This window comes from Homo sapiens, chromosome 3 (assembly GCF_000001405.40).
Source record: "Homo sapiens chromosome 3, GRCh38.p14 Primary Assembly".
Classification (NCBI taxonomy): domain Eukaryota; kingdom Metazoa; phylum Chordata; class Mammalia; order Primates; family Hominidae; genus Homo; species Homo sapiens.
In genome coordinates, this window is record NC_000003.12 from 17423789 (window position 1) to 17447955 (window position 24167).

General features: G+C 34.6%; 1 protein-coding gene across 65 annotated transcripts in view; it reads right to left on the reverse strand.

Moving 5' to 3' along the window:
- The window catches only part of TBC1D5 (TBC1 domain family member 5), a 585470-nt gene that overhangs the window by 266627 nt on the left and 294676 nt on the right, over positions 1-24167 (reverse strand). For 56 of the 65 annotated variants that reach the window (XM_047449296.1, XM_011534283.4, XM_047449314.1 and 53 more), the window contains one exon: positions 4662-4731. The exons of the other annotated variants lie outside the window; for them this stretch is intronic. In XM_047449296.1, the coding sequence (XP_047305252.1) occupies positions 4662-4731 (70 nt within the window). The remainder of the gene's footprint in view (positions 1-4661; positions 4732-24167) is intronic. 65 annotated transcript variants of the gene reach the window in all.

Sequence of the window (24167 nt, forward strand, 5' to 3'; positions counted from 1 at the left end):
AAAATAATCTACAATGATTTATATTCTATCCTCCGCCATTTACACAAAACTAAGATGAGGTACAAAAATTAAGCAATATTTTGAGTTTCCCTGAGAATGCCAAATAACTGGTCTGAGCTTTCTCTAACTAAATTGACTATTAAGCCAAGTTTACCACAAATTTTTGGCTATAGAGACACAAAAAGCTTATGAATAAATGAGCCAACAAATAAGTTATTTTCTATATTGGGAATTATGACATTATACTTTAAAAATCTGAAAAAAAAAGCATTACATTGGCTCAAAAATGATACAGATTTCCTGTCAACTTTTGAGGAAAGTTATAATTTGATCAAAAAGATATTTAGAAACATAGGGTAATAAAACAAAAGTTTTTAAATGTTCGCCTTCAATTTATTTCATAGGTCACTGTTATACCATCTAGTAAGATAATTAAAAACATGCAAGCAGCTGGTACTACAGCTAAACAGATTAATGTAATAGTCTGTAGTCATATGTGCTGGCAAGGGGCTTGCCTCTTTTGGCGAGGAGAAGGTCAGCTGCCCTTGGGAAGAGGAGGAGAGGAGTGGCCTGTGCTACAGTCACTAAGTTAAACATCTTCAGCAAACTGATAATCAGGAAATGACTTTCCTTCTTTCACACCCATTCATGTTCTTCTCTCAGTTTTAATGGTTAAATAAGGAACAGAGAAAGCTCATATAATTTGGCAGACAACATTAACGTTGGTCTTTAAAAAGTACAAGATATATTTCACAAAACCAACAATGTCTTCTCAAGTCTTATAAACTTTCCATTTTAACGCATCATCTGCAAATTAGTTCAGAGATATACAATCAAATTTTAACCAAATTTTCCAAAACAATATCTGGACTATTACTCAAGCATCAAATAATAATTATACTGGTGCCTTAGGAGTTAAATGCAGCTGTACTCTATCTGAATCCATGAAGCAAGATCAAAAGAAGATATAAATCCAAAGTAAACATCCCAGGTTATTAAGAAAAAAAAAAGTCTATGAGTATTAGGCACATAAAGCTATAGTTAGGGTCGATTCACTTTAAATTTTAAAATTTATTTGTCAAAGTTCCAGCCATCATCTCTGAATTTATAGTAAAACATCTTCCTTTCATCTACTAGGTTTTCAAATTTGTTATTCCAAGGTAACCTGAAATATATGTCAGATATTGAGAATGTCAAATCTCAGGTTAAGCTTGTTCTTAAGCACTCTTTCTGCTAACAGACAAAACATTTATTTTCTTGTAAAACATATTTTTTCCTTTTGGTATATTAGATCACTGTAACAATTTCTGCAATACCAAAAGGTTAGTGATGATGACAATGATGATGATGACACTGTCTGGAACAAAAAAGTAACTAATATTTATTCAGCATTTACCATATGTCATTATCTGATTAAACTCCTCATATCAACTGTATTTTATCATCTCCACTTCAAAAGTGAAGAACTGAGGCTAAGACTTGTCAAAAGTATTCAAAGTATTTGGAATCAGGATCTGAACCAGTACACTATGTTTAAACATTGTTTTTAAAAAACAGACCAGGTGAAGTGGCTCACGCCTGTAATCCCAACACTTTGGGAGGCTAAGGCTGGCAGATTTCTTGAGCCCAGGAGTTTGAGACCATCCCGGGCAACATGGTGAAACCCCATCTCTACAAAAAACACAAGAATTACCCAGGTGTGGTGGCATATGCCTGTCGTCCCAGCTACTCAGGAGGCTGAGAGGTGGGAGGATTGCTTGAGGCCAGGTGGTTGAGGCTGCAGTGAGCCGAGATAGTGCCACTGTACGCCAGCCTGGGTGACAGAGTGAGACCCTGTCTCAAAAAACAAACAAACAAAACCCCCAGAGACTATGCCCTCTTGAAACTGACAATCTAATATCATAATAATACAAACAGTGGAAAGAATATACATTTCAGTGTCCAATTCAAGACTGAATTCAAAAGTTAATAAAATCTCAACATATGTTAGAGAAGGGTACATGTGTCTGATGGTGAATACAGAAAACAAAGTTACCCATTTAATGAAGTGATCACAAAAGAATTAATACTATGACTTCCCATTTAGATTTTCAAAGGCCTTTATTTTACATGTTTTAACCTGAGTCTTTAAAACAGTTGTGGGAAGGAAACAAGTTAGGCATTATAATGCCCATTTGATAGATAAGAAACTAAAGTAAATCTTAACCCTAGACACAAGTATATATAAAGTATGAGTATGTTGGTGTAGGTTTCAGGCCTGCGTTGTCGAATTGTGAGAAAAGCTAGGATTTCAGAGGCGGTTTAAATAATACAAAGGTAGAATTGTCATGCAAAAGGACATCTGAGGGTTGCAACATTTACATTTCTCTAATAACCTATGTCTAGTTAGTTTAAAGAGATATAATGGCAACAAAAAATAATTTGCATTTTCAAAAGTAAATTTTACTGAAAATTCGACTGCCATTTTAATGTGATTCTGCAACAATCCCTAGATTTTGTCAGTTAACCTTAATATGAAGCTATACCACAGAGCTGTGCTTCTATGAATTCTACACTTAACCCAAGTGTCAAATCCACAAGTAAGCTCATTATAAGAGCTACTGCCTACTGAGTAGAAAAATATTCATTTCACACCTTAAATACTATAATAGTATTTAACAACAGCACTGGCCTGCCAACTATTAAAAGTACATTTTTACATACTGTATTACTTGAGCTTTTTATCTTCTCTTTTTAATTACAACAATAAATTAATATTCTAACATTACAACATTGATTTTTAATCAATGCCTGCCATTTTTAAACAATGACAGGCATTGATTAAAAATATTTAGTTAACAACGTAAGTATTTATTGTGCAAAGCTACACTAGGAGTTACTTTTCAAAATACAATTATCATTTAATACTAAGATACTTTATTCAAGAACAAAAAAACCCACAAGATAATACTATACCTTCACATGAAAACATTTCTTTTAACTTTATATTATACCCACTATTTACTATAATTAGCTAAAATACAAATGTAATTGTAAAATACAATTCACCAACAAAATTTATACATATAATGGGATTTTCCTTCCTTTGAAATACATTTTTTTGTCTTGTTTATGTTTAATCGTGTTTATACCTAATAAATTACTATCATAGATTTCATATATTACCATATTAAGATTCCTCTGTTACATGTCAACTCCTAATATTTATTTAACTATCTTTCATATTTACTTTTTTGGTTATTGTTACAATCAGCTATGACACACTCGAATAGGGGATTCTACCTATAGTTTAGTATGCCAAATACAAGCTTTATATTATACTTCAGGACTCAGAAAGCATTTGGACAATTCCAATATTTATAAGGTAGGATGGATATAGTGAAAATTTAACAACAACATATGAGCTTTACTGCTGTGATAACACCCTTCTAGAACACCATGGAACATAAGCCTTTTGTAGTATCTGTGACACTTGAACAACTGATTATGTATACAGACCCCAAATGGTATAAAATAAAGATATCAAGTGTTTCAATTACCATCTCATTTCTGAAATTCATAAACAAATTGTAAAAACTGTTTCATTTACTACATTTTTGTCAAGTGCCTCCTGTATAAAAGGCCCAACTCTAGATGTTAAAAGCCCGCCTGAAATCTGAAGAAATAAATGACACAGTTCCAATTAAGAATATATAATATGTATACAAATAAAAATATAAACTAAGCATAAATTCCATATTTATTATAGAAAAGAAGACAGTTTAATATTAAAATTAGTTCTCAAGTACACAGTGGTTCTTGCATATATTTTATAGTGTTGTTACACAAGTATCAGAAGTAATTAACCACAAGGACAATGTTGACCAATTAAATTGTTTCTTCAAGAATCTGCATTGCCATCTATAATGTTAAAATGTATTATTATTGAATTTGCACTTTTTTCCTAAAGAAAATAACCAATTTCTTACACCACTTTGGTTCTGTATACAGATTTTCAAGTATTACTGAAAATACTTTAATCTTTCTTACTCCTGAGTTTCCCAGATACAAGGTACAAATTTCATAAATATTTACTGAAGCAAAATTCAAGTTATGAGGAGAATATTAAGAAAGTACTAGGTAAAATACATATTTTCTTAATTAGTATATCCTTTTAAAAATTACTAATTGAGAAGTAATAGCCCTGTTTGCTGAAGAACTTAAAACAGGATATTAGCAAAGAGCACTTAATTCAACCATGAACTACATTTTAAGCTCTCTTAGGCGCTCATGAGCGGTACTATATTTTAGCAGGAAAATTAAAAGGAAGCTTTAGTACCGTAACAGATATACTGGAAAAACAAAAATAGATTATAATGAAGCTGAATACTACATGTGCATTCATTCCAATTACCCTACTATTGGCTAACAACAGATACTGCAGTAAGTGCATTTACTCAAAAATTTAGAATATTATATTTTTCTGTATCTTATTAATTACAGAAAATAACATAACACAATATTGTTTACATTGGTCACCTTGTTAAAACACAAGTAGTGGTTCCTTACTATTCTAGATCAAAACCCTATATAATTATATATCTTATACATTATCTTATAATATTATATGTGTGTGTGTGTGTGTATATATATATATATATATATATGTATTCATCACCTACCTATAGGAATTAAAAGTCCCTTCAGAGTCTAAAGTAGAACTTGTTCTTCTTCCATTTTTATTTGAATCTCCTGGAGAAAAAAATTACGACACTGAAATAATGGAGATAAACTGAATATTTCAGTTGAAAAACTGTGTGAAAGCTCTACGCAATATATTAGCCAAAAAGCATACATCCTCTCCCCCTTCCCCAAATTATCTTTTGTACTCAAAGCTTTTTAGGTAGAAAACTCATTTTGATACCAAAATATAAACCAATGCCAATCCTAGACTGGACAGTAACAGTACCAAAGTAATTGCTATCAGGAACAAATGAGGCACAGTACAAACATTTTCTTCTTATGAATTACAGACAAAACTAAAATTATAAACCAGTGTTTATAAAGAAAGGAAATTTTCTGTTAATGACTAAGTCACCCATCCTGATCAGTGGCACTGTCAAAAGAGAACAGGCAGAGAGCCGACCTGGATGATTTTCCAGGTCCTAGTTTGATGCTCTCTAGGAATTTAGTAAACAGAGGTAAAATAAAAAGCCAACTTGAGAGGTAGTGATTAATTAATGAGATTTTAATATGCCTTACTTAATATTCTTTACAAAACTTTATCTGTTAACTTTAGGTTTCAACTGTCAAAAGTTCGGCAATTTAAAACATGAAAAAGGAACAACATCAAAAGGTATTTGTCTTCTATAATAATATCAAACATTTAGAAAAAAAATTTTTACTCAAAAATCTATCATATTCATAAAATCACATTTAGAACAAATTATACATATCAATTTAAAGACTACAGAATAAAAGTAAATGTACTAAAGTTGGAAAAAATGCTTACCAATGCCCCGTTGTTATATATTCTTATTGATTGAAATTTCATAGTTCAATTTTTTTAAATATATACTTCAAAGTACAGCTTTTATGAAACCATAGTATACCACTATTAAAAATGTCATTTGTTCTTCAAAACAAATTAAAAGTTTAGAATCTGATTATATTTTATACTCCTAATTTATATAATGTAACTTTCAAACATCAGGTTGTATTTGATTTTTATAATATTTACAGCTTAATATAACAATGATTTAATCCAATTTTATACTTTTAATATACTTTGAACAACCGAAGGTGCAATAGGAAATCATCACAGTGGTCGTGGATAAGTCAAACAGTAATTACAGAGCTTTCACTTTAAAGATGAGATTATTTTTAATTATTGAGTATAGTATCTAAGGTACTATACTTATATAATTATGCTACTCATTAAATGGTGACTGAATGCTGAAATGTAATTTTAATGACAGCTACCTATCTTTCTTTACACATTTTATAGCTGACAGATAGTAAAGAACACTGGTTCTTTTTTGAGAATTTGGTGAGATATGTGCAGCTGTGCCAGTGTTCAGGAGAAGTGGACTGAGCCTGCTTATTAAACTTTCAACTCTACTCTTTTTTCAAAATATTGTTCCAGTTTATTTTGTTTTTTGAAAAAACAAAAAATCCTAAAATGGATTACAACACTTAAAAATGGTGACAATTTATAGAAGAAAATAATCCAAAAACATATAAATGTTTAAAATTAACCTAGCTAGGTATAAGTTGCTAATTCTTTGAAAACATGGGTATGGTATTACTCATACAGCACCCTTCATTTTCTTTTAAAAATTAATAATATTATAATAAACTAAAAAGATGTAAGGAAAATTAGTCTCTGTCTTGCTAAATGAAAATTTCCTACAACACATGTTATTTAACAGCTTGCAGACATTTCCTGTGAAACGTTCCATAATCAGCATAGAATAAGTACTATATTATACATTTAAAATATGAGCTTCTTTCTCGTTAAAACTAAAGATTATGATTAAACATGAAAAATAACACCAATAGAATAGTTCTTCCTTTAAGGTGATATTTATCAGATCAAATATAAAATCCTTCAAATAATTAAGAGAATTTGGCTTTATAAACAACCAGGTTTTATCATATTATAAAGGTTTTATTTAATTTAAAACTGTTTCCAAATGAAACTATCACATTAAATGTAACTTTCAAGGTGCAAAAAAATGGTAATAGGGAAAAAAAAAGCAGTTTTTCTTTCTCAAAAACATAGCAAATAAGGAGTACAATTGTTTCACTAACAATATTAGAGAAAAGATTTCAGAGTTGGCTATATGGGGAAAAGGCAATAAAGTTTTGAAGCGGGAAAAACGCTTTGTTCCCTCAATCCTCTAGTTGAAATTAATTATGGCAAATGTTTATGAAAACATCTGTTCCTTACAGTTATAAACTCTTAATTTTAGTATGGACGATCCCAGACTCTTATTTTGGAAGGAAACTGTCTGACTATGGAAAGGTTTACAAAAGAACAGACAGAATCTGTAATTCTGTAAAATTGTGTATACAATGTGCTACATCCTGTAGAGATTTTCCTTGGTGTGAAACATTTGGAGAGGCTTAATACCAGTAACTAGGAGAAATCAAAGACAAACAGAAAGGCTCATTTTTCATTTAAGCTATAATATGATAAAAAACATATCTGTAACACCAGAAAACAACTTCCGCCAGTTTGGGAAATAAACAAGTGTTACTTTACTACTGAATCTAATTTGGAGGTAAGTATAATAAAATAAGTATTAATTTTATAAGGGATTAAAGTAAATGAAATGACAATACAATCATGGGAACGTATATGTAGTGTTTCCCAAAAATAACAACAGAGGGTGCAAGAGAGTTTACTATGATGTTTTTACTTGCTATTCTGATCCTTGAACTAAGTTGTCAGGTAGCCGTAACTGTAACAAAGATGCATCATACACACACATACAAATACAGTATTAATGTAATCTTACACAAAGACTATTAAATGGTCAAACAGCACAAATATCTAAAATGTGGTTTAAGATAATAGGCTTCCTCTTACCTGAAAATAATTTAACTAATCTGCAATTTTTAGAATACAGTTGTAACTTTAAAGGTATTTCAATATCTAATGTAAAGTAACCAGTAAAAGAATCTAGATGTCTTTATTGAGTATATTTTGAATACATGCATGAATTATATAAAATAAATAACATATGTGTAACTATATATTTATAACATTGTACAACATATATCTATAAGAACAATTCATCAATTACTTGTGACCGTAAGTTTGAAATTTATATAACATTCATTTCTCATTAATTGGTATGCAACTTTCCTAATGGGTTCATAATATTCAATGAAAATAAATTGCTGATTTGCAAAAATATGCTGATAGTTACATTGGCTTAAATTATAAGAAAATGCATAATATTGCTTAATAGTAATTTCTAACATGTGTATCTAACTTACTAAGCCAGAAAGGATAACTGTGACTTAAATTTCAAAACAGAATGAATGGAATTTCAGACTCCCTTTTAGCTTTAACTGAAGTCATGTTTAACAAAGGGCATTTTTGGTTCCATCTGTGCACTGTTGAAATCTTTCTAAAGGGAGGTTTACAATAGATTTCTGTAGTATTTTTTTATACACAAACATCTAGTTCATGAAGAGAGAACCAGAGATTTTTAAACTAGGTTAAGTTAAAAACAGCCAGAATAACACTATAAATAATCACGCCTACTCAAATGTGTCTTCAGTTTACATGTGAAAACATCAAGTTTTAGACTATCACATCACACTAGGTATGAATTCTGAAAAGTATTACATAATAAAGAAAAGGTTTTATCTTTGAATCATTAGAGAACTGTCAACATACACAGTCTGGGTGGGGTATTTAATAGTAAGATGGGGAAAAATGACTTGGTTCAAACTAAGATGAAAACAAAGCTATGAGTTTAGTGTAAAGACCTGAAAGCCTTTGTGTCTTTTAAAGGAATTAGTATATACCAATGAAATGTTTTAGTTAACTTTAAAATCCTTTAAAAAAATGATTTTTAAAAATCTATGAATAAAGTATATTCATGTGTTGACACACAGTGAAGGCAAAGCATAATGACTCAGCATTATCCATAAAGTAGCCACATCATTTGTGAAATCAGGCTAACCATTAGCCACCCCAAGCTAATTACTTATGCTAAAAATCCAGGACCACTCATTAGATCTAAGAGCCAGTGCTGAAGTCAACACAGAAAAAAATGTGTCAATTTTATAATTTTCAATTTTCTTTATTATTGTTAATGTACTTACATTCCAGTGATTTAATAGTCATATTTAGTTCTCTAAATAATGTCTTAAAAAATCTGTATTGTAGATAATGAAAACTCAAACGTAAAATAGAAATTCATAAGAAGTCTTAAATAAAAAACATTTTCAAGTGGACATTTTAATTTGAGAAAAGGATGCTTTGTTATCAAAGGTTCCTATTAAACCTTTCATAGAATTCTTAAAAACAAAAGACAGAAAGCAGCATGACATCAGCAAGATGGCAGAGTTTGAAACTCCAAGTAGTACATGTCCTCCCACAGAAACACTGAAAAACAAAAAGTAACTTTTAGGACTTTGTAAAAGCTGTAATAAACAGTCAAAAATGTTCCAAAGCAAAATGAACACTGAATCAAGAAAAAAGGCAACTTAAAAATTTCGTGGTGTTTACACTTGCCCTTGCCCCACCCACCCCATCCCTGGCACTGTAGCAGTCTGGAAGAGGGTAGCTACTTTCCCAGGGTGGGAGTCTGGTACTTAGTTCTCGAAGGGAAGAGGGTACCATGTTAGCAAATTGTTGTGCATATATGTTCTACCCTGTGTAAGGGCCACCTGAAAGATGACACAAGGTGCCTTTCTCTGTTCCGGCTACTTTAGAAGAAGCAGCGGACATGAATAGAACATACAACAAGCCAAACTAAACACCCGATATACAGTCCATTCTCACGCTGCTATAAAGCACTGCCTGAGACTGGGTAATTTAAAAAGGAAAGAAGTTTAATTGACTCGCAGTTCCACATGCCTGGGAAGGCCTCAGGAAACTTACAATCATAGCAAAAGGGGAAACAAACATGCCCTACCTCATATGATGGCATGAAGGAGAAGTACAGGGCAAAACAGGGAAAAGCCCCTTATAAAACCATCAGATCTCATGAGAACTCACTATCACAAGAGCAGCATGGGGGTAACCGCCCTCATGATTCAATTACCTCCAACTGGGTCTCTCCTGTAACACCTGGGGATTATAAACCTATATTTCAATATGAGATTTGGGTGGGGGCACGGCCCAACCATATCACTGTACCCCCTCCCAAATCTCATGTCTTTATAATTCAAAACACAGTCATGCCTTCCCAACAGTCCTGCAAAGTCTTAACTCATTCCAGCATTAACCCAAAAGTCCAAGTCCAAGGTCTTATCTGAGAAAGGCAAGTCCCTTCCTCTATGAGCCTGCAAAATCAAAAGCAAGTTAGCTACTTCATAGATACAATGGGGGTACAGGCATTGAGCAATACACCCGCTCCAAATGAGAGAAACTGACCAAAACGAATGGGTACAAGCCCCATGCAAGTCCAAAATCCAAGAGGCAGTAATTAAACTGTAAAGTACCAAAATGATCTACTTTGACTCCATGTCTCACATCTATGTCACACTGATACAAGAGGTAGGCTCCCACGGCCTTGGGTAGCTCTGCCCCTGTGGCTTTGCAGGGTACAGCTCCCCTCCCGGCTGCCTTCACAGCTGGCGTTGAGTGTCTGCAGCTTTACCAGGTGCACAATGCAAGCTGTCACTGAATTTACCATTCTAGGGTCTGGAGAACAGTGGCCCTCTTCTCACAGCTCCACTAGGCAATGCCCCAGTGGGGACTTTGTATGGGGACTCCAACCCCACATTTCCCTTCCACACTGCCATAGCAGAGGTTCTCCATGAAGGCCCTGTCCCTACAGCAGACTTCTGCCTGGACATCCAGGTGTTTCCATATATCATCTGAAATCTAGGCAGAGATTCCCAAACATCAATTCTTGTCTTCTGCACACCCACAGGCCCAACACAATGTGAAAGCTGCCAAGGCTTGGGGCTTGCACCTTCTGAAGCAATAGCCCAAGCTGTACACTGGATTCTTTTAGTTACAGCTGGAGCTGAAGCAGCTGGGATCCAGGGCACGGCCCAACCATATCACTGTACCCCCTCCCAAATCTCATGTCTTTATAATACCTGAGGTCTTTATAATTCCTGAGGTCTTTATAATTCCTTTATAATGTCCTGAGGTTGCATAGAACAGGGGGGCCCTGGGCCCAGCCCACAAAACCACTTTTCCCTCCTAGGCCACCCGACCTGTGATGGAAGGGGCTGTGGTGAAGGTCTCTGACATGCCCTGGAGACATTTTCCCCATTGTCTTGGTAATTAACATTCCACTCCCCGTTACTTCTGCAAATTTCTGCAGTGGGCTTGTAATTCTCCCCAGAATTTTTTTCCCCCTACTACATTGTCATCCTGCAAATTTTCCAAACTTTTATACTCTGCTTCCTTTTGAATGCTTTGTTGCTTAGAAATTTCTTCCACCAGATACCCTACATCATCTCTCTCAAGTGCAAAGTTTCACCGATCACTAGGGCAGGGGCAAAATGCCACCAGTCTGTTTGCATAGCAAGAGTTAACTTTATTCCAGTTCCCAAAAAGTTCCTCATTTCCATCTGAGACAACCTCAGCCTGGACTTTATTGTCCATATCACTATCAGCATTTTGGTCAAAGCCATTCAACAAATCTCAAGTTCCAAACTTTCCCACATCTTCCTACCTTCTGAGCCCCCCAAGTCTCTAGGAAATTCCAAACTTTCCCACATTTTCCTGTCTTCTTCTGAGCCCTCAAAACTATTCCAACCTGTGGCTATCAACCAGTTCCAAAGTCTCTTCCACATTTTTGGGTATCCTTATAGCAGCACGCCAATCTCTGTGGTACCAATTTACTGTATTAGTACCTTATCACATTGCTATAAAGGACTACCCAAGACTGGGTAATTTATAAAGGAAAGAGGTTTAATCAACTCACAGTTTCGCATGGCTGGGGAGGCCTCAGGAAACTTACAATCATGATGGAAGGGGAAGCAAATATGTCCTTCTTCATATGGCAGCAGGATGGAGAAATGCCAATTAAAAGGGGGAAAAGCCCCTTAGAAACCATCAGATTTTGTGAGAACTCACATAATATCACAAGAACAGCAGCATGGGGGTAACTGCCCCCATTATTCAATTACCTCCCACCAGGTCCCTCCCATGACACATGGGGATTATGGGAACTACAATTCAAGGTGAGATTTGGGTGGGGCCACAGCAAAATCATATCACTCACAGATGCCTGCGGCAAAAGACTGCAATTGAAACATAAGATAGACCACCTAAGGCCTGGGAGCAAAAGCTGGTGAGGATTTCTTTGGGAAATTAGGACATTCAAAAGCATCCATGTGTATTGGAGAGATGTAGAAGGCCGTGTGTGTGCCTAGAGCAATATGCATGATCAGAAAGTAACTGAGAAGACCCTAAGCTTCCACCAAAAGCTGATCACTATATGAGGACTGCAAGCGTGGCTAAATGTTAAAGAACTACTGTGGCACAGAGCCAGTCTGCAAAGACAGGAAGAGGTTTCGAATTTTTAGGGTGGGGGTCTATATAAATACAAAGTGCTTTTAGCTTTTAAGAGAACAAATACACTGTCCATGATCTCTGTTTGAAGTATTTCCAGGAGTAAGCCTTACTGAATTGGTAAAATTAAACTGACAGATTCAGTTTAATGAAATCAGGAACTAGAGGCATTAAAGTATCATAATTAAAAGCTAAGACTCTACCATTTGTTTGTTATCTCACTTAACCTTTCAATATCTCAGATTCCTCATCTGTAAAATGGAGAAAACAATAGGTTCTACTGCAAAACGTGGTAAGAAAGATTAAATGAGATAAATGTATGTAAAGTGCTTATAGTACAATGTAAGTCCTCAAAAAAAGTTAGCTATCATTTTTATTAACATTTTAATCAATGTATTTATAATACTGGTTCTAGTAGAGGTATAAAAGTAAAAGGCTACTAGTTCTACACAAGGAGAAATACACTTACTCATAACTTAAATAATTGAATATTGTGGCTTTTTTCTTCTTATCAATTAAAGGAGCATTATTTCTGAAAAACTTTATCAAAAACTTTATGAATTATATGAGGATGGTGTATAAGTCTTGTGCAGCCCTTATAATATCCTTCCTGACAACGATCTTATCAAACATAAAATATTTAAAGAGAATGCAGGATATAGTAAATTTAAATAAAATTACAGCCTTGAAATATAAAGCCATATAATTTCATGAACTTAAGATATATAAATGTTTCTTGAAACTGATAAAAGATAAAAAACTAAAACCATGGTCAGTCTATCAATAAACTAAAACTAACATGTATGATAGTACATAGTATTACACATATAGCAATAACAGATAAAACAAGCTATAAGAGGAATTAATTAATGATTCTGCAACTAAATGGGAAACAGGGACTAATTTCAAAGATAATCACAAGTAGAACTACCCAATTTAAGTTAACATGTGCTATGGTTGAATGTGTCCATCAAAAAGCATGTGTTGGAAACTTAATACACAATGCAACAGTGTTGGGAGATGGGGCCTAGTGGGAGGTGTTTAGGTCAGGAGAGCTCTACACTTATGAATTAATTAATGTTGGTTATAAAATAGCTTAATACTGTGAATTCAATCTCTTGCTGTCTCTCACATGTGCTCTCTTGCCCTCTTGCCCTTCTGCTTTCCATCATGGGATAATGCAACAAGAAGGCCCTCACCAGATGCTGGCACCTTGAGATTAGATTTCCCAGGCTCCATAACTGTGAGAAATAAAATTATTTTATTTATGAATTACCCAGTCAGTGATATTCTGCTATGATAACACAAAACAGACTAAGATAACACATAATAACACACAAATCCAAGTATTTCTATTTAGTATGATTGTCATTTTTCCAGGTACTCTATGGATATAAAGCTACCTGATGTCGTAGAAATATAACAGAGTAGGCCAGAATCAATCAAGAAAACAGAATTCTAAGGCAAAATTAATATTTCTGGGTTCTACCACCCACATCTATTACAAGAGGGGGTGGTACCAGATCATATCTGATAATCCAAATCACCTGGGAACAGGTATATAGGTAGTATGCATGTGTGTGTGTGTGTGTGTGTGGTGGGATGGAAAGAGGGGAGAGAGACAGAGACAGAGGTAGAGAGAGAGAGAGAGAGAGAGGAAGGGAGGGAGGGAGAGATTTGGGAGAGAGGGGGCAGAGGAAGGAAGGGGGAAAGAAAGTAGCGGGGGAAGTGAAGGCAGAGAGAGAAAAGAGATTGAGATATTTGTGGGTGAGGCCTAGAACTCCACTTTAAAGGGTTCCCTAGATTATTCTGATGATACACAGGCCTTTCCTATTCTAAAATTATTAGCTTCTACTGTACTAAAAGTGACTATCTTATTATAGAAGGCAATTTAATTTGCCCAAATTGAGGAAATTATTGGGTATCTTATATGCCCTCATTTACTAATGACTAACAATAAAGCACAAACTATGATCTCATTTTCCAGCAATAGTAATAGACTGCATTGAGCTATGCCAACTTCACACATTATCCTAATATGACCAGTACTATGTGCTCTTTATTAGGGGAGGGTGCAGGCTCCAGATGTTAAGCACAATGCTACTAATGGCCTCTGAGGTTCTACCACAGACCACCTGGATCTCAAAAGCACCTTTTCGAGAAAGAGTTGCATTGCTAATGCTGCATTTTAGACAATTACAAAACACATTTCCACTTAGCACATAAACAACAAAGCAGACTTTCAGAAGAGCTTGCTAAGAAGTAAATATGTTGATAAAGAGTATTTGAAAATATTTCTTTAAACTTGGAGAAATAGTATTAAGGCCATAAAAGATTTGATATGGTTTGGCTGTTTCCCTACTCAAGTCTCATCTTGAATTGTAGTTCCCATAATCCCCACATATCAATGGGAAGGACCAGGTGGAGATTACTGAATCATGGGGGTGGTTTTCCCCATCCTCTTCTCATGATAGTGAGTTAGTTCTCACGAGATCTGATGGTTTTATAAGGGGATTCCCCCTTCGCTGGGCACTCACTTTCTCTCCTGCTGCCATGTGAAGAAGGACATGTTTGCTTTGCCTTCCACCATAATTGTAAGTTTCCTGAGGCCTCCCAAGCCATGCAGAACAGAGTCAATTAAACCTCTTTCCTTTACAAATTACCAGTCTTGGGTATTTCTTCATAGCAGTGTGAGCACAGACTAATACATGATTATTATATAATTTGTCCTTCACTCCAATTTTATCTTAACAAAATACAGATAACAATTTAGTTTAACTTTGGCTGAGATTTTTAGCCTTACTACAGTCCAACAAAAGCTTAAATAAAACATACCCTCCTCAAAACAACAAAACAAAAAATCATTGTATTTTCAAAAATAATCTAATTGATATTTAGGGAATTCTAACCCTAACATTAAATTATCTATTAAGTGCCTGAATATATATAACAAAAATAAAATACATATTATTTACTATATAAAATAGAGTATATGTGGCAGTAAGGTCCTATTTCACTGTCTTTCAAATAATACCTATAGAATATTTATATTTATCAAAATTATTCTTTTTCTTCAGTGCAATAAAAAGGAAACATCTTTTTCTAGAGAAAAGAATCCTTGGGGCACTACTCATTTCAACTGGTGATTACAATCAGTGCTAGATCCCTCAAGGTTGAACATCTAGTGGACAAGACTTCATAAAATGTAAAGGCATCTGTTAACCCGAAGTACATAACTTTCAATGTTAATATTAGATATGTCCCATTTTAGAGCCTGAAAAATTCACTGGGACTCTATGCAGGATATAAATTATCATTGTGAACCAGGGTAGCTGATCCTATCTGTGTCTTTTAAATAACAGCTATCTGAACAAGTTCATATAACAAACATCTACTTAAAAAGCATAAATGGCATTTTTACTAAGACATTCCAAAGCCTAAATAAAGAAGTGAAGGCATATATTCTCAAAAATATCTTTAGTCTTATAAAAGATTTACTAACACAAATCACAATAAAACGTTACTGATTAGTATTTAAATATAAAATCTTCAAATATCAATTTTTTTTAATGTTTACCAATTCCTTCAAATAAAAAAATTCCAAAAATATTTTGATTCCTACAAAAATGTCTTATTTTACAAATTTTTGCTATGACATTAAGGAATTACTGTACTGTTCTTTCCTTTTTCAAAGAAAAGAATTCTAAATCCACGAATTGATATGTATCATTTTATGATAATGCATCTTTATTTACTAAAAAGGTGATTTTTAAAATCTGATAACTAGAAATATGTCAATATAATAGCTATTCCTTTAAATATGCTAGGAAATGTACAATATTGTACAAAATCCTTGTAGATTATTAAAAATATCATTCAAAGTAGTTATCACTTATTGAGCATTTTATTCAAATTATTCATTACCTAGACAAACTGTAAATGGGCCCTAATTAATAAATGCATTTTGTAATTCAAACTTTGTCATAAATTTAGATGTAATAGTTCTTCCAGCATTTTTCAGTTCTTTCAGCAGTCACATGTTGAACACTTACAGTATTCAAGTGCTGACGTTATAGCGGTAAGCCAAAGCTCAAAACCCATCCCTGACATACTTCAGTTTGATGAATGTCCAACAGAGCAGAGGGACAGCCAAAGCAATGCACAATGACAACTTTGAAAAATGTTATACAAGATTACTATAATAACATATGAATGAGGGGGTGGATAAGTCACAGACCAAACAGGGCAAAAAGAGCATCCCACTAGAGATCAGCATATGCCAAGATTCTGTGGAGTTCACGTTAAGGATTTTGGTCTTTATCCCCCAAAAAAAAACTCAGTAAAAGAAGGGCTATAGGCCAGGCACAGTGGCTCACACCTGTAATTCTAGCACTTTGGGAGGCAGAGGTGGGCAGATCACTTGAGCTCAGGAGTTTGAGACCAGCCTGGGCTACATGGCAAAACTCATATTTACAAAAAATTAGCCGGGCATGGTGGCGTGCACCTGTGGTCCCAGCTACCTAGGGGACTGGGGCAGGAGGATCACTTGAGCCCATGAGATCTAGGCTGCAGTGAGCTGAGATGGAGCCACTGCACTGCAGCTTGGGTGACAAAGTAAGACTTTGTCTCTTAAAAACATATACATTTTTTGTTTTGTTTTGTTTTGTTTTTTGAGGCAGAGTCTCACTCTGTCACCCAGGCTGGAGTGCAGTGGCATGTTCTCGGCTTACTGCAACCTCTGCCTCCTGGGTTCAAGCAATTCTTCTACCTCAACCTCCCAAGTAGCTGGGATTACAGGTGTGAGCCACCATGCCCAGCAAATTTTTATATTTTTAGCAGAAACAGGATTTCTCCATGTTGGCCAAGCGGGTCTCGGACTCCTAGCCTCAAGTAATCCACCCGCCTTTGCCTCCCAAAGTGCTGGGATTATGGTCATGAGCCACCGTGTCCCACCAAAAAGATTCGTTTTTAAGTGGTCACTTGAAGTTCAGGGTGAAGTGATTTGTGGGTGGGTGTAGGAAAAAGGAGAGTGGATGAAGGGAGACTGGATAAGAAGCTGTGTGGTACCCTAAGGCAAAAATAAATGATAGAATAGTTATCAACATTGATGATACCATTAACAGACCATCTTAAGTGTGGAAATTTACCATTCTGTCAGGACTGTTGCTATTTAAATCTCATTTGAATCATTCATTCATTCAATGAACATCTACTGTCTACTATGTGCCAGACACATAATTCCAGTCCTAGGAACTAGAAGTATTATAGTGAACTATAGTATTACAGAATGAAGTGGAGGAGCAGGCGGAGAAAACACAAGAGAATAAATTTGTAAGTTCGGATAATTATAAGAGCTGTAAATAAAATACAAAACAGAATAATGTGACAGTGACTGTGGGAGGTTGCTCTTTGAAGATGAAGGTAATATCTGATTTTGGATTCTAACGACAAGAAAAAAGTCAGCCATTTGAATATCTATGGCAAAGGGTACAATATGCAAAGCACAAAGGCACTACTACAGAAGCCAGCTTTTAGATAAGAAAATAAGGCCAAGGTGGCTGGAGGACTGGGGGCAGAGTACTATGAGATGAGGATAAGAATACAGGATAAGAAGTGACCATAGAACTTATGGTTTTAATGGGAGGAAGTCTGGATTTTGAAACTACAATGAGAAGCTACTGGAAAGTTATAAAATCACAAAATTAATTCTTTCTAAGATATTCTAAACAGGTATGCTTTGAAATCATTTCAATGGTGGTAAAAGTATTTTATTTCATGCATAGTAAACAATTATTTATTTATTTTACTGAATTGCTTTCTACCTAGATTAGTAATTAACTTGATTTCTCAATAAGACTTAAAACAGATCACAATAAAACAAACCAGAAGAAAAGTACATCATAGGTTACTAGTAGGATTTCCAGTTCCACCCATAATGGAGTACCACTGCAGCATATTTCTCCCACTGACAACAATTTAGTACTCTGGGCAAAATACAAAAAAACAAAAACAAAAACCACTTGAGTGCTCTGAAAAGTAAATAACAGGAGGCATATTGGAGAAGAAAATCAGTGGTGTTGAGTTTTCTGTTCTTTCTTCTCCTTTATTTACCACAACAGGATGAATCTGAGAATTAAACAGCAGGCATCGGGAGCAAAAACCCCAAAAGAATCCCATTTTTCAGAAACTAGAAAAAGGAGGTCCTGTGATCTCGAGAGTGTGGAAAGAAATCTCTTTCTTTTTCCCTTCTTTTTTCATTTCTAACCATGTGACAAGACCAGGTCTAGTTGTAGAACTATGCTGCCACAGTAGGTTGGTGGTAGCTGTGGTGTGGGCACCTAAAACTCTTAATAAGGCTACCCTTTTGATAAGAAAACTGCAGAAAAGGTTCCCTGTTGTGCAGACAGTGAGTGGAGAACCCCAATTATTTTTTTCTTTGCTATTTCTCTCATCACTTTGCCAAAAAAGTGCATCCATTCATGTGGAACTGTGCAATAGCACAGGAGGCAAATGTTATGATAAAACCAGACACAGTGTGTGGGGTAACCCTGTAGAAGAAGGCCTGGACATGGGGATTCTCTAATTCTGTGTATGAAAAGACACAAATCCTGAGCTCACTCCTCACCTGTACATGCTCAAAATATACCCAAAGGAGCACAACAAAAGCTTTGAGAACGGAACCATAATATTAATATCAACTACCACCAAAGTCCCAGACTAACCTCTGAGGGTCACACGCAAGGAGCAGACTAAAAAAGCATGGAAAGGACTTTGAAACTGCTGACACTGGAACCTCCACCCACAGAAAGTGAGTCAGAAACTGTGGTCTGAACTTAACTGGAACAGCAGGAGAGTTGGTAATGGGAAGGAAGGGAGAAGAGAAGGGGAGAGGAGAGGGAGAAGAAGCGAGGGACAAGGGAAGTGGGAGGGGAGGAAGAGGAAGAGGGAAATAGAAGGAAGGGAAGGGGAGGAAAGGGAAGAGAGGAAGGAGAAAAATTCTCCAGAGGATTTAACAGGATCCAGAGTTTCATAACAAATTATTCAAAATGTTCAAGACACAGTCTAAAATTACTTGCTATATCAAGAACCAGAAAAATATGATCAATTATCAAAATGTAATACAATAAACAGATACCAACCCAGAGATGCTCCAGGCATTAGAATCAACAAAGACTTAAAGAAGCTATCATAACTTGAGAAGTTTATTTTATTTTTTATCTGTGGAATATGAGCCTCTTTAAATTATCAGGCCAGAGAGGCACTGAAATGTGACAGCGGTCAGGTCTCACTTGCACTCCGAGCTAAGTAATTATCTCTTGAAGCCATGTACTATGTGGGCTCTAGATTGACACCAAGTAGCCATAAAATTAACCGAACAATACCACGTGCTGGATACCATAACTCATACCCTATAGTTCAACAATGTATAGCCAATCACTAATCAATGTTATTTCTATCAACCAATGAGAATTCCTATCAAACAACTTTATCAGCCCACTTTTGGTTTCCTTTTTCCTTTAAAATCCTGCTTGTAACAAAGGCTGAGTGGAGTACTTCCCAAGGCAACTTGGAAATGTTTCTTAGGCAGCTGTCCTCACTTTGGCTTACGTAAACTCTAAAGTTTTATTTTGTGCCTCAGCTTCTTCAAGTCAACAAACTTTTCTCTATGAGGTAATGGTGTATAATCTTGAACAGAAAAATAGAAGTTCACTGTAAAATAATAGAAACTATTAAAAAGAACCAAATGGAAATCTTAGAACTGTAAAGAACAATACCTGAAATTTTAAAAATTCATAGATGGGCTCTGTAATGAAATGGATAAGACAGCGGAATGGGACAGTGAACTGAAAGATCAACAAAAGTTATATACAATCTGAAGAACAAAGAAAAACAACATTTTAAAAAATGAAATGAACGGAGTGTCAAGGATCCATGGGGACAATACAGCCTCCCAGTAAATCTTCAAAATTCAAAGTATTTTCAAAAACATTATCAAAATCACATAAGTCTTCAATGTAATCTAATTATCTTCTCATGAGCTACATTGAAATACAGTTACAGCTTAAAGAATAAATGTAAAAATTACCTAAATAAAAATGAGATTATAACAGAATGTAAAAACTAATTTAACCCACTCTAATATTAACTTATATTCCATTTCTTGGATATACTTTATTTTTCCAGATGTAAAAGCAATGCAAACTACATTAAAAACTTGTACACTTGAGAGAAATTATTAAAACAAAAACTACCAACAAAAAAGAAAAAAGAAAGAAAAAGAAAAGTAGACAGCAAAACCCACCCATAATGTGATGCAATTACATGAGGATACTTTTCCTTTGACTATTTTCTATAAAATTGAATTTACATACTACATAAACAATTTTATATTATATTATTTCATTGTATTATATGAGCATTTCTCCCATGTTATTTAAAAAACTTTTTACAAAGAAATTTTAACTGGCTACATAATAATCAATGTATGTCCTATAATTTATTTAACCATTCTTCAATTGGCAGATATTTCTTTTATTTAAAAGATTTAGCTGTTCTAAATAACACTATGATAAATACCTTTGTGCACAAATCCTTCCATGGCTGCCTTTAGAGAAATAAATTGGTTGATCAAAAAGTATTAACAAAACCACAAAACAAATAGAAATTGATAAAAATTACAAAACTAATACATAATTATTGTACAAAATTTTCAAATGCAGATCTATATTCAGAAAATATAAAGCCACACATAATTCTTCCATTGTTAGTATTTTAACATTTGCTCAAATTTTTAACAATATGCATTATATATATTCTATAATTTGAATACAATATATAGTTTAATACTATCCTAATATAACTTTCAATGGCTACAAAGGGTGTTACACAATAGCATTACAGAGAAAAAGAATTACCCATCATCAGTAAGTAAATGTATTCCTACAGCTACTAACCATACAGCATACTATACAGAACTGTCCATGTGAGAAATAACTTCATTGAAAGTCAGTTTTTGAAATGTGAGCATCTGCATTTTGTAACCCTTGACTTAGGTATTTCATAATACTGACACTTGCCCTGAATCTGTTTTCCCCTTATCAGTGGACATATGGCAACCCAGCTACAGACCATATTTCACATCTAGTTTATGCCTAGATATAGCCCTGTATGTTCAAGTGCTAAGGGCATATTCTGTTTTAATGATGTCTTATATGAGCTTTCTTTTCCATGGATTAAAACAGTAGTCAATTACAATGGCTAAATCAGGCCAATAATGGCCTCTTTTCATATGACCTGTGGACAAAAAAGGTTTATACATTTTTAAAGGCTTTTTTTCTTAAAGAGGACGGTCTTTAGTGAAGAACCATAAAAAAAAAAGTCCCGTCTGCCATAGACAATACTTTTGTGAAATAATAAAAATATTCGTATAAAAGTGAAATAAAAAGATATATAATATATAAGCCTCAATATTTTATTATTACATTCAAAAGATGGAAAAATTACTCTGTTCTATATATTAACCTTCAGTTTCCATACAGCAGTCTTTTCTTATTTGTGGTCTTGCTTTCCGTAGTTTCAGTTACCTGCAGTGAACCATGGTCCAACAATAGGTGAGAATAGTACAATAAGATATTTTTGAAAGAGACTACATTCACTTAACTTTTATTATGTGATAAAAGGATATTGTTATAACTGTTCTATTTTATTAGTAGCATGGTTGTTAATCTCTTAATATGTCAAATTTATAAATTAAACTTTATCATAGGTATGTACGTATAGCAAAAAACACAGTATATATAGGGTTCAGTACTATCTGTGATTTCAGGGATCCACTTCAAGTCTTGGACCATATTCGCCACAGATAAGAGTGTAATACTATACTTATACAGTTGAGAACTAGTTACGAACAGTTCTCACCCATGGACTAGACTGAGTAGCACAGCTCTAGGAAATGGAAGAAGAACAACAGGGAAGGATCCTGGAGTCAGGGCTGTTAGGTTAAGAGTAATGCACTTCTGCCTTTTTAAAGTCATTGTATTTTGGGTCTTAGTCATTGCTTAAAATAATACAGAGTTCAAAATGAAATGGCTGATGTTCTCCTCTGTGGCATAAAAATATGTACGGCAGAAGGATGACTGCCCATCTCTCTTAGATATCCTTTCTTTAGGTTATTTCTCCCAACCCCATTCCTCCTGAAGAGACATACTTTTTATTTTAAGTAATTTACCCCAAATATAACTCCAAATTTGGTCAAACTCCCTTTAGGTCTCTGAATGTGATAAGAAACAAATCCTATTGATGAGAAGAATTATAGTAGCTTTAAGGTTGCAATGGTTTAGATCAAAAAAAGTAAAACAGATTCTTGAGATATTAAGGTGACAAATCTATTGCATTGGTGGCTAAGAGATGTCAATAATGATTCCTAAATTTCTGGCTTACACAACTACATACATATTGACACCATTCACTGAGATTAAAAAAAAAAATAGGAGAGGAGTTTGGAAGAAAATATCACAAATTCAATTTTGGACAAGCTGAGTCAGAACTTTTAAAATCTAAGAGGAAATGTAATCTGGAATGTCAGATATATGAATCTGGAGCTACCTGAACTAGAAACACTTGAAAGTATTAAGGTATCGATAACTAAAGCTTAGGATAAAAACAGAGACAAGTAAAAGCCCAAATTTTAAAGACCACATTGGGCCGGGCGCGGTGGCTCGCGCCTGTAATCCCAGCACTTTGGGAGGCCGAGGCGGGTGGATCACGACGTCAGGAGATTGAGACCATCCTGGCGAACACGGTGAAACCCCGTCTCTAGTGAAAATACAAAAAAATTAGCCAGGTTGGTGGCAGGCGCCTGTAGTCCCACCTACTTGGGAGGTTGAGGCAGGAGAATGGCGTGAACCTGGGAGGCGGAGCTTGCAGTGAGCCGAGATCACACCACTGCACTCCAGCCTGGGCGACAGAGCAAGACTCCAACTCAAAAAAAAAAAAGACCACATTGAAAAGCATAAGAAACAAGGAATACCAAGAGAAAATTGTATCACTGAAGCTAAAAGAGGATTTTGAGAAGGAGGAAGTCAAGAATTTAGGATGTTACTGTCAAGGCCAGATAAAATCTTAAAATAGATTTAATTACAGAAAGACCATTAGGATCTCAAAAGATATTCATTCAAGTAGAATGAGTGACAGTCACCAGAGTAAAATGTAAAATAATAAAAAATGAAGATAACCATTTATGGAGTATTGCTCAGAAAACGAGAATAAAGCTACTGCTGTAGCTGAAAGAAGTGGTGGGATCAGCACGGGACTTTTCATCCTAGCTTAAGTTACTAAGATAAGAAGGACTATCAACAAAACAAGAAAGATCCAGTAGAAACACAGGGGTTGAATATATAAGAGTTGAGAGATAACTGATAGAATACAAGATTCCTGAGAAGATACAAGAGGATGGGATCTAGGCCACAGGTAGAAGAACTGATCTGAAACGGAAGAGACATCACTAGGGAAAAAAACAGAAAGATACAGATGTAGTTGCAGGTAACTCTGTTACAGAAAGCTAAAGCTCCCACCTAATAATTTCTATTTTCTTTATGGAATGAGCAGAGTCAATCTTCAGGAAATCATAAGTTTAAATTACAAAGGTTTTGAAATACCTGAGAAGAGAGGGAAAGTACAACTTAATTCTTATGGTGATCATGAACTTAGGCTGAAAAGATAAATCATACAGTAGAATAAACATGTCAGTCATTGATATATACATCCTAAACTGGCTGGCATTAAGCTTTTACCAATTAATCATCAAAGTAGATAATAACGTTTCAAAACTATTTTTCCCATCTAACAGGATCTTGTGTACATTTGTATTTCTTGGAATATCAGGAAAACTAAACTTCTAAAATATGTTTATTGGAAATTTGCATCTCGCCATTTTTAAATAGCTGGTTAAACTTGTTTTCACTGCTAA